General features: G+C 37.3%; 1 long non-coding RNA gene across 4 annotated transcripts in view; it reads right to left on the bottom strand.

The window, feature by feature from the left end:
* Positions 1-4,024, bottom strand: part of LOC105378789 (uncharacterized) — a 112,950-nt gene extending 108,926 nt beyond the window's left edge. For all 4 annotated transcript variants that reach the window (XR_001738106.2, XR_947488.3, XR_007066166.1 and 1 more), the window contains exon 1: positions 3,107-4,024. This is a non-coding gene — a long non-coding RNA (uncharacterized LOC105378789). The remainder of the gene's footprint in view (positions 1-3,106) is intronic.
* Between the last annotated feature and the right edge of the window lie 8,521 nt (positions 4,025-12,545).

The raw sequence follows: 12,545 nt of genomic DNA, 5'->3' as shown, positions 1-12,545 counted from the left end.
ACCACTAAAAAAATGTTGTGGCCTTGAGATAAGCAAATATTTTAAAAACACGAAAAAAAATTCATCACAAAGGAAAAGATAGAAAATTGGACTTCATTAACATTTTTAAAAATCTGTTCATCAAAATCTCCATTAGCAGAATGAACACTCCAGCCACATAATAAATAGGAATATTTGAAATACAGATACGTTATAAAGAACTAAAATCCATGGTATGCACAAAATTTGTATTGTCATAAAAAAGACAGTAGATACTATAGAAATATTAGTGAAATATTTAAACAAAATGAATATATCCTATTGACTATAAGCATATTGAAAGGTGTTCAACCTCACTAATCATAAGGAAAATACAAATTATAGCCTCAGTCAGAGGCCATTTCATACTCAAACTGCAAAATTTTAAAAATTGATAATACCAACTGTTGATGAAGGTGTGGAGCAACAGCAACTCTATCATACATTGCTAGTACAAGTGTAAATTACATCAACTACTTTAGAAAAGTGTTTTGTAGTATCTACTAAAGCCAAAGATATGCATTTCATAGTCCTGCAATTCCAAACAAAGTATAAACCTAACAAAAATGAGAACAAAAGACGTATAAGAATGTTCACAGCAGCATTAGCACATTAGTTCGAAACTAGAAATAAATGTTATCAACATTTAATGGTAGAATAAATATCAACGAAAGAATGAATGAAAATATTTTATATTGATGCAGTGCAGAAATAAAAATGAAAAAATTGCTGCTGTAGGCAACAACATGAAGGAATCACAATAAAATATTGAGAGAAGGAAGTCAGACACAGAAGAGTACATGTAATCTCACTGTATGCATGTAAATTACAAACAGACAAAAATTAATTTATCATGTGTCTTAGCCTGTCTGCTGCTGCTATAACAGAATACCACAGACTAGGTAATTTATAAACAATAGAAGTTTATTCGGCTCAACTGGGAATTCCAAGAGCATGGTGCCAACATCTGGCAATGCATTTTGTGCTATGTCATCCCACGGAGGAAGGCAGCAGGGGAAGTGAACACGAGACAGGAAGAGGATGAAGTTCAAAAATCATTCTTTTTATCAAGAACTTACTCTTATGATAACTAACCCATTCCCACAACAACAGCATTAACCCATTCATGAGGGCAGAGCTTATGACCTAATCACCTCTTAAAGGTCTGACATCTGTTTCACTGTTTCAATGGCACTTAAATTTCAACATTAATTTTGGAAGTGACATTCAAATGATAGCATTCCTTCCATGGCCCCCCAAAACCCATGTCCTTCTCACATAGAAAAGACTCTCATTCTATACCAGTAGCCCCAGTGTCAACTAGTTCCAGCATCAACTCAAAAGTCCAAAATCCAGAGTCTCATCTGAATCAGACATAAGTGAGACTGAAGGATCAATTAATCCTGAGGCAAACTACTCTCCAGCTGTGAGACTGTGAAATTAACAATTTAAGTGCTTCCAAATCCAGTCGTGAAACAGGTGCAGGACAGACAACTCCATTCCAAAAGGGAGAAATAAGCAAGAAGAAAGGGTAATTGATTCCAACAAAGTCCAAAACTCCACAGGGAACACCACTATCTTAACACTCCAGAATAATTTCCTTTGACTTCATGTCCTACATCCTGGGCACACCGTTACTGCCGTTGGGCCTCCAAGACCTCAGGCAGTCATGTCCCTGTGGCTTTTCTGGGCTCAGCCCATGTTTCAGCTCTCTCCATTGGAGTCTAGTGCCTGCAGCTCTCTCAGGTTGGCATTGCACACTTGTTGCTCTACAGTTCTGAGGTCTTAGTGATGGCCCCACTCCCACAGCTCTATTAGGAATTGCCTTAGTGGAAACTCTCTGTGGTGACTCCTACCTCACATTTCCACTCAGCATTGCCCTAGTAGGGTAGGAGGTCTCTGCAGTGGCTCCATCTCTATAAGAAGACTCTCTGGGCCCCTAGGCTGTCCACAGCATCCTTTGAAATATAGGGTGAAAGTAGCCATGCCTGCACAGGTCTTGCATTCTGCATTACTGCAGAATTAGCACCACATGGACACCACCAATATTTATAGCTTGTAACCTCCAGAGTAGTGGGTTGAAGTATACCTGGGCCTGCTTGAGCCATGGCTGGGGGTGCCTAAGGGGCATGGTGCTGGGATGCAGGAAGAAGAATCCTGAGGCAGCCTTGGGTAGTGAGTCCACAGAGGGTGCCCCAAGCCCATTCTCCCAAAACATTCTGCCCTCCTAGAGCTCTGGACCTGTGATGGGAGAGATGGCCTCCAAGATCTAAATGCCTTTGGAGTCTTTCTCCCATGGTTCTGATGAACAGTGCCTAGCTCCCTTCTATCCATATGATTCTCTTTAGCAAACTATTACTTGGCCATACTCTTAGTATTTTCTCTCAAACATGCCTTTTTACTTTTCACGTGTCCAGAATGCAGATTTTCCAAATCTTTTTATTCTGCTTCTCTTTCAATTATAAGTTTCATCACTAAGTCATTTATTTTCTCTCACATTTCATTGCATGTGTTCACAAGTAGCCACACAGTAGCCAGAGTGCTTTGCTCCTTAGATATTTCTTCCACCAGATATCCTAGTTCATTACTCTTAAGTTCTGCATTTCATGAAGTCCAAAGACATGGACACAATTCTGCCAAGTTCTTTGCAACTGTATGACAAGAATACCTTTACTCCAATTTCCAGTATCTTCTTCCTCATTCCCAACTGAGACCACATTGGAATGGTTTCTCTGTCAATATTTCTACCAACATTCTGGTCATGACCACTTAAGTAACCTCTAAGAAGTTTCAGACTCTTCCTACAGTTCTTCTCTTCTTGTAAGCCCTCACCAGAATTGCCCTTAAAGCTCCACTCACCAGAAATCTAGCCTATTTCTAGCTTGCTCCTCCAAATTCTCCCAGCCTCTATCCACTTTCCAGTTGCAAAGCCACTTCCACATTTTCAGGTTTACCTTTTGTTTTGTTTTCTTAATGGCAACAATCTTATTCTCAGTACTGATTTTCTGTTTTTAGTCCATTTTCAGCTGCTGTAAGAGAATATCAAAGACTAACTAATGTATAAACAATAGAAGTTTATTTGGCTCACAGTTATGGAGGCTGAGGGGTTCAAGAGCATGGCACCTAATTCTGGCAAAGGCCTTCATGCTGCATCATTCCATGGTGGAAAGCAGAAGGGCAAGCAAGTACATGAGTCAGAGAGGATGAAGGCCAGACTTCTTCCTTTTATCATGAAATTACTCTCAAGAAAACTAACCTACCCCTGCAATAACAGCATAAATCCATTCATGAGGACAGAGCCTTTATGACCTAATCATCTCTTAAAGGTCCCATCTCTCAACACTATTACAATGGCAATTAAATTTCAGCATGAATTTTGGAGGGGACATTCAAGCCATAGCATGATGATAGAAGTAAAAATATCATTTCCTTGAGACGTTTAATGACTGAATGGAGGCATGAGCAAGGTTTTAAGTGTGCTGATGTCTTGACCTAAGTAGCTACTTTTGTGAAGGCTAAAGCAACTCCATCTTGGATACTAATCCATCATGTTGACTTCTGATTAACACTGGTTTGGAGAAGCCCTCTAAGATTTCTGCTATATCTACTCTTCCTTGTGTAAGAGCATGTACTTACTGTGAATCCTGCCCTTGGGTAAAGACAACTTTGATGTTATCATACTTACAATTAATCCTACCTTTAAGCAACTGTCCTATACACCCCTTCTGAAGCACATATATTCTTTCCTTGGGTCTGGGCCACAATAGCATGCAGACTCACCATCCTGTTTTGCTGCTCCCTAAGAAACAGACATGGCTTCTGATTGTAAATGCCCATTATATGTTTATATGTTTCTTTCTGAGGAACTGTATATGTCAGCCACATTATTTGTCCTCTCAGCTTCCTTGGACTTTTACAAGTAGGTTGGCATAGGTCTGCCTACAATGGGACAACTTTGTAAAACTTTATTGCATTGTAAAAATAAGGTTTTTGAAGTTTTAATATTACACGTGAATATTAAAAATAATATCAACAATAATAAATATGACTATCATTTTTTGATCACGTTCTAAGTTAAGAACAGAGTGCTTTTTAAGTGATTGTTTTATTTAATTTTTTTAGCATGTTATTTTTTTAATTATTATTATACTTTAAGTTTTAGGGTACATGTGCACAATGTGCAGGTTAGTTACATATGTATACATGTGCCATGCTTGTGTGTTTCATGAGGATATTGTATTCATTATACTACTAAGAAATTGATTCTAGAAAAGTTAAACAATTTGCTTGTCAGCGGTAGAGCTGGGAATAAAACCCAGGTCTACAGGCATCAGAGGGCATACGTTAAATCATTCCATAATACCATTCCCAAATGCTATGTGCTATTGCACCCACTGAAGGAAAGAGCTGTCCTTTGAAGATGTGTTTTAGAAGAGAAGTTGCAAATGAGAAATATGATAAAACATTTAGGCTAGAATGACGAAGTACCACATAAGATATAATTATGAGATCAAGTTACGAAAGAAACTAGGGAATGTTGGCAGAATTACTGCTAATTATAGATTCTTATGAACTGAAGTTTGAAAAAGTGAGCCATTGGTTATCTAAAATATCAACTGATCACTTATGCCATCCAAAACAGTTTACTGAGTCACAACAAACAGCTATTCCGAGAGGTTAAAAAAAAAGACAATTAATGGTCAATGAGTGCTAATGCAACATTCACGGAAAGCACAAAGGTAGAGTTTGGTGGGTTCTTTCAAGTTCTTAGAACACTCACTTATTTCCCATATGCTCCAGGAAATACCCAGAGTTTTGAGTGGTTTTAAAGTGGATGGTGGGAAAGGCAAGAATTATAGATATATCTTGCAAATCTTAGAATGCCTAGCCTACAACCATAAAAATCATTCTGACTTAGTAAAATTATAAAAGAATTTTTCTGATTTATAAACTTTAAATGAACTATGTATCAATGCATTCCAAACTTTCTTCATAAGTACCTCCAATGGGAAAAGAGAGTGAAAGCCACCCCCTTAAGGTTCTGAATGAATAATTCAAGTTAACTGAAACAACTTACAGGTAAAACTTAGAGATGTTTCTTTGAAGTTGTAGTTTTATCTTGAAATTTTATGCTTATTTTTCAGTCTACTTCGTAATATACCTATGTATGACTTAATATGAAATAATGTTTTACATTACTTAAAACAGAATAGAATTGATAGTCTAAGAAGCTGTGCCAACCTCTGGAGTACATACATATCTCCAAGATATATGCCCATGGAACTTGAGAAGCACAGCTACAAGGAAAAGCCTTTATAACTATTAACTGTGAAAGGCGTCACTGTTCCTATTATTTTTTTCATAAGCCTACTGCTTTGGTAAGGAAATTAGCTAGGATGCCAATATGCAGCTGCCTTTTCTCTGGGGTATCTGCTCTAATGGGTAGTTGCAGTGTGGTGAGGCCTGGCTGCTTGCATCAGGGCCAGGCCAGGCTGGGGATTCAGTTCTCCTTCCCTTCCTGGGGATTAGCACCAGCCCCCTGTGTTTACCTTACCGGCTGTTGCCTGAGAGTATGGGCTTCTCCCCTTTAGAAACCTTAGTGTGTCTCAACAAATCACTGAATATAGGGTTTCTATCAAAGCCAAAATGTCAGACATTGATTGAGAATTTAAGTGCATGTGTACCTGCCATGAGTTATTTACCTGCCTGCTGATCAATTTAAATATAAATTTTATTATAAGAAAGAGATAAACTAATTAAAAATCAGCTCACACTTGAATCAATAATCCTTCCAAAAATGTTTCATGGAATAAGAACTAGGTGCCCAACGAATCAATTAGATGTAGATTTAGGGTCTTTCTTCTACTCCAAGGCCAGGGAAAACAAGAAATTGTTTAGCAGTATAAAATGGATAATGGCTTGTAAATTAGGGGCATTCAAAGTCCTTTATCTACCAGAAGAAAACATCTTAAAACCTGGTGAGTCTGTTATGGCTTCCTCTCCACACTCCAAATAGTCCACAGCCAAAAACGAAAAAAAGTGCTACAGCAGAAAAATCCATGCAGAAGACAGTTTAGAATTTAGGATTAAGATTGACATCAGTGGGTCCTGGTTCAAATTCCAACTCTATCATGTATTGGCTGTTTGAATTCTAGGAAATAAACTAATTTTCCAGAATCTCAGTTTTCTCATTTGTAAGATGAAGAATATAATACCTACCTTACGAGATTATTGTAGGTTATTGTAAGGATCAAATACGATAGTATATGTAAAATGCTCGGGGTAATGTATTTGTGTATGAAAAGTGGGAAATATAGTTAGGGTTGTGTTATGAGCACAAGTGCAGGAGACTGACCAGGATTTAACTCAAAGCTCTTCAGCTTACTACATGTGTGATCTTAGGCGTGTTTCTTAAACTTTCTGAGCCTTGGTTTTCTTATCTCAAAAATACAGATGCTAAAACTTACACTATTAGATCAATGGGTAACATAGTGCTGACATACCGTAAGCACTTAGTAAATGGTAGCCACTTGTATTACTTTCTGACTTTATTTTTTCAAGTTTTATGAATCTACATGCTTATTAATGAAATGTCACTGGTGAGCCATATTTATTCTGCTATTAGCATACCTTAATTATTACTGGATCATAAAATACATGTGTTTATACTTAGTAATGAGTAACAATGTGGGCAGGAGTATCTACTATGTCAGTGTAATAGCAAATACTGGGAAATTGTATGGGGGCAAGATTCAATGCAAAGTGCTTTGAGGAGATGGTAAGGAAAATGCAAAGTTAAATACGTGCCCGGTGCCTGCCTCCACGGAGCTAACGCTGCATTGCATGAAATAAAGCATGGCTGTTTATAAGTTAGAGGGAGAGCTAAGTATAGTGAGTGGTCGAACAGAAGATAGAACGGTAAATTTTATCTGATTTAGAGAATAAAAGACAATCTAATGTGGAATGATATTTAAGTGGAGCGCTGAAAGCTCAGCAGAATTCAGAGGACAGTGGAAACTGGAGAATGCATTCTAGATGGAGAAGACAATGTGAGAAAAAGCACAAAGCAAGAAACCACAAGATGTGTTTGTAAAATGGTGAATTTTGCTCCCTCTAAAAATTGTGGTCTGAAACCTTCACGGGATCCCAGTTTTGTTTTGCTGGAGCCCAAAGTGGTGTGTGTTTTTACCTGTATTTATGTGAGGGTTGAAGTTGGAAAAGTAAATTGTGGGCAAACAAAGGAGGGTTTACCAATGTGCTAAGGGATTTTAGGTTTTTAAAAATATAGTCAATAGAGAGTTTTTGAAGATTGTTTTAAGCAAATGAATGGAAAAATGGCTTTCAGTTAAACATGACAAAATATTTACAGAATATATACTATGTACGAGGAACTATGCTAGATGCTGGGGCTATAAAGATAAATGAGACCTGAGTTTTTTTTTCACTGAGCATGTAGTGTAATAACAGAGGCAGACATATAAATAACAACTGCAGTAGTAGAAGTGTGTACAAACTTCACTGATTAAAAAAAGCTACAAACTCTATTTGGAGTATGTGCATGGTGGGGGAGGAGAATTTCACACATAAAGAAGTGCTCTTTAGGCTAATAAGGTAAGGGAGGGCATACTAGGGAGAAGGAGGAAAATGCAAAATAATTTAAGTAGGAAGCAACAGATTGTGCCGTGAGAACAACCAGTGGTTCAATATTTCTGAAGCCCGAAGTATGTATGCATGTATATGTGTGTGTGTGCATGCACGTACGTACACAGATGTGATGTGTACTCACATGTGCATTGGGGAGGTTTAGCAAAGGCGAGATAGAGACAACATCAAGAGAAAATTCATACTATGAAACTAAATTATGATACATAAAATGGATTATAAAATTATAAAATTTTAACTTCATAAGCAGCATAGCATCTTGGTTAAGAGCATGGCGTCTGGAGTCAGACTGCTCGGGCTGATATTCCCAGCTATACCATTTATTAATTATATGCCCTTAAACAAGTCATTCAACCTTTATTTACCTCAATTCTCAGCTGTAAGATGGAGGTAATAATACTACATGCATGCTCATTTCATGACATAAATATATTTTGAGAAATGCATCATTAGGTGATTTTGTCATGTGAACATCATAGAGTATACATACACAAACCTAGGTGGTATAGTTTATTCTATCATATAGCTCCATTACAACCTTATGGGACCACTATGATATATGCAGCCCATCATTGATTAAAATGTTATTATGTGTAGCATGACTACATTTTTTTCATAAAGTTCATATTAAGATTAAGGCATTAGTATTTTTATTTTTTATTTTATTTTATTTATATTTTTATATAATATTTATTATATAAATATATCTTTATAAATATATTATATATTTATAAATATTTTTATGTAATATTTATAAATAAAAATATAAATATTTTATTTATATTTATTTTATTTATTTTTTAATTATACTTTAAGTTTTAGGGTACATGTGCACAATGTGCATGTTTGTTACATATGTATACATTTGCCATGCTGGTGTGCTGCACCCATTAGGTTGTCATTTAACATTAGGTATATCTCCTAATGCTATCCCTCCCACCTCCCACCACCACAACAGGCCCAGGAGTGTGATGTTCCCCTTCCTGTGTCCATGTGTTCTCATTGCTGAATTCCCACCTATGAGTGAGAACATGCGGTGTTTGGCTTTTGTCCTTGTGATAGTTTGCTGAGAATGATGGTTTCCAGCTTCATCCATGTCCCTGCAAAGAGCATGAACTCATCATTTTTTATGGCCTCATAGTATTCCATGGTGTATATGTGCCACATTTTCTTAATCCAGTCTATCATTGTTGGACATTTGGGTTGGTTCCAAGTCTTTGCTATTGTGAATAGTGCTGCAATAAACATACGTGTGCATGTGTCTTTATAGCAGCATGATTTATAATCCTTTGGGTATATACCCAGTAATGGGATGGCTGGGTCAAATGGTATTTCTAGTTCTAGATCCCTGAGGAATCGCCACACTGACTTCCACAATGGTTGAACTAGTTTACAGTCCCACCAACAGTGTAAAAGTGTTCCTATTTCTCCACATCCTCTCCAGCACCTGTTGTTTCCTGACTTTTTAATGATCGCCATTCTAACTGGTGTGAGATGGTATCTCATTGTGGTTTTGATTTGCATTTCTCTGATGGCCAGTGATAATGAGCATTTTTTCATGTGTCTTTTGGCTGCATAAATGTTTTCTTTTGAGAAGTATCTGTTCATATCCTTTGCCAACTTCTTGATGGGGTTGTTTGTTTTTTTCTTGTAAATTTGTTTGAGTTCATTGTAGATTATGGATATTAGCCCTTTGTCAGATGAGTAGATTGCAAAAATTTTCTCCCATTCTGTAGGTTGACTGTTCACTCTGATGGTAGTTTCCTTTGCTGTGCAGAAGCTCTTTAGTTTAGTTAGATTCCATTTGTCAATTTTTGCTTTTGTTGCCATTGCTTTTGGTGTTTTAGACATGAAGTCCTTGCCCATGCCTGTGTCCTGAATGGTATTGCCTAGGTTTTCTTCTAGGGTTTTTATGGCTTTAGGTCTAACATTTAAGTCTTTAATCCATCTTGAATTAATTTTAGTATAAGGTGTAAGTAAGGGATCCAGTTTCAGTTTTCTACATATGGCTAGCCAGTTTTCCCAACACCATTGATTAAATAGGGAATCCTTTCCTCATTTCTTGTTTTTGTCAGGTTCGTCAAAAATCAGATAGTTGTAGATATGTGGCATTATTTCCGAGGGCTCCGTTCTGTTCCATTTGTCTATATCTCTGTTTTCATACCAGTACCATGCTGTTTTGGTTACTGTAGCCTTGTAGTATAGTTTGAAGTCAGGTAGCATGATGCCTCCAGCTTTGTTCTTTTGGCTTAGGATTGACTTGGCAATGCAGACTCTTTTTTGGTTCCATGTGAACTTTAAAGTAGTTTTTTCCAATTCTGTGAAGAAAGTCATTGGTAGCTTGATGGCGATGCCATTGAATCTATAAATTACCTTGGGCAGTATGGCCATTTTCATGATATTGATTCATATCCATTAGCATGGAATGTTCTTCCATTTGTTAATACCCTCTTTTATTTCATTGAGCAGTGGTTTGTAGTTCTCCTTGAAGAGGTCCTTCACATCCCTTGTAAGTTGGATTCTTAGGTATTTTATTCTCTTTGAAGCAATTGTGAATGGGAGTTCACTCATGATTTGGCTCTCTGTTTGTCTGTTATTGGTGTATAAGAATGCTTGTGAATTTTGCACATTGATTTTGTATCCTGAGACTTTGCTGAAGTTGCTTATCAGCTTAAGGAGATTTTGGGCTGAGATGATGGGGCTTTCTAAATATACAATCATGTCATCTTCAAACAGGGAAAATTTGACTTCCTCTTTTCCTAATTGAATACCCTTTATTTCTTTCTCCTGCCTGATTGCCCTGGCCAGAACTTCCAACACTACATTGAATAGGAGTGGTGAGAGAGGGCATCTCTGTCTTGTGCCAGTTTTCAAAGGGAATGCTTCCAGTTTTTGCCCATTCAGTATGATATTGGCTGTGGGTTTGTCATAAATAGCTCTTATTATTTTGAGATACGTCCCATCAATACCTAATTTATTGAGAGTTTTTAGCATGAAGGGCTGTGGAATTTTGTCAAAGGCCTTTTCTGCATCTATTGAGATAATCACGTGGTTTTTGTCTGTGGTTCTGTTTATATGCTGGATTACGTTTATTGATTTGCGTATGTTGAACCAGCCTTGCATCCCAGGGATGAAGCCCACTTGATCATGGTGGATAAGCTTTTTGATGTACTGTTGGATTTGGTTTGCCAGTATTTTATTGAGGATTTCATCAGGGAAATTGGTCTAAAATTCTCTTTTTTTGTTGTGTCTCTGCCCGGCTTTGGTATCAGGATGATGCTGGCCTCATAAAATGAGTTAGGGAGGATTCCCTCTTTTTCTATTGATTGGAATAGTTTCAGAAGGAATGGTACCAGCTCCTCCTTGTACCTCTGGTAGAATTCGGCTGTGAATCCGTCTGGTCCCGGACTTTTTTTGTTGGTAAGCTATTAATTATTGCCTCAATTTCAGAGCCTGTTATTGGTCTATTCAGAGATTCAACTTCTTCCTGGTTTAGTCTTGGGACAGTGCGTGTGTCGAGGAATTTATCCATTTCTTCCAGATTTTCTAGTTTATTTGCATAGAGGTGTTTATAGTATTCTCTGATGGTAGTTTGTATTTCTGTGGGATCAGTGGTGATATCCCCTTTATCATTTTTTATTGCGTCTATTTGATTCTTCTCTCTTTTCTTCTTTATTAGTCTTGCTAGAGGTCTATCACCTTTCAAAAAGGTGTTACTATTTTTAAATCACTATTTGTTAGATAAAAAAGCTAGATAACTCATATTTGAATATAGAAGGTCTACTAGGTTGTTAGGATCAGTGATTTGACTGTGGTTTAATCAGTAACATTGACCTATCTACCAACAAAATTATGGACAGAAGAGGGATGGTCACGTAAATCGAGAGTAGCAGTGAGGAAGGGGCTTCATTGGTTGTTGAAGCTGGCAGAATCCCAGTAAAGGGAGGAGCCATGAGGCCACAGACCTCAGATGTCTGTGTTCAGATGTATTAGAAACTTCTCTTGACTTTTACCTCCTTAAATGTATCTCTAGGTTAGAAAAACCCTGTTGGGAAAACAAATCAACAAAAATAAATGCTGTGGAGGAATATTTCTAGAGACTGTGAGAATCACTCAATTGAGATTACCAGGCAGAGGGAAGGTAGAAGCCAGTCTGCCTTAGGAGGTAGCAGCAACAATAGCTCCAGCAAGGCCAGTTGCAGATAATGGCTCCAGAAGTGACAATGCTGAGTGAGAGCCACTCAGCTCCTGCGAAAGAATAGAGTTGGCAGTTTGAGGAATATCAGCTCTGAGGGAACCTTTGGACTCCTATGGAGTGATGATTATAACTTCTCATGTTTCTTAAATCCAAGGATTTGCACAAACTCTTGTTCCTTTAGCCCTCCTAACATTTTTTTTAAATCTAAAATTCTGGAATTCTCTCTCTTATTTCAGAAACAGAAAAATAACCTAAAAATGAAGCCTGGATTACATTTCTGCCTCCTTTAGTGAGCCGAGATTGCGCCACTGCACTCCAGTCTGGGTGACAGAGCAAGACTCCATCTCAAAAAAAAAAAAAAAAAAAAAAAAAAAAAATTTCTGCCTCCTTTAAAAACCTTGAGTGGTTTCTGTGTAATGTGATACTCTCTCTAGGACCAAGATATCTAGACTTTGAGTAGCCAGACTTTTGGTGTTTTTTTATTCCACTGTCTTCAGCAGGGTCAATGATGAAAGACTTCTTGAGATGCTGAATAGCTACTACACTGGGGATACAAAGACTTTTATGTAGGTTATAGAATTACAACATAAGTTGAATTCAGCTTTTCGATGTCTCTGATATTAAATCAATGACTGTAAAGGAGTGAGACCGTGAGAATGAGAATTAT

This window comes from Homo sapiens, chromosome 1 (genome assembly GCF_000001405.40).
Source record: "Homo sapiens chromosome 1, GRCh38.p14 Primary Assembly".
Lineage (NCBI taxonomy): Eukaryota > Metazoa > Chordata > Mammalia > Primates > Hominidae > Homo > Homo sapiens.
Note: the sequence above shows the minus strand (reverse complement) of the source record. Positions and strands in the feature narration are given on the sequence as shown.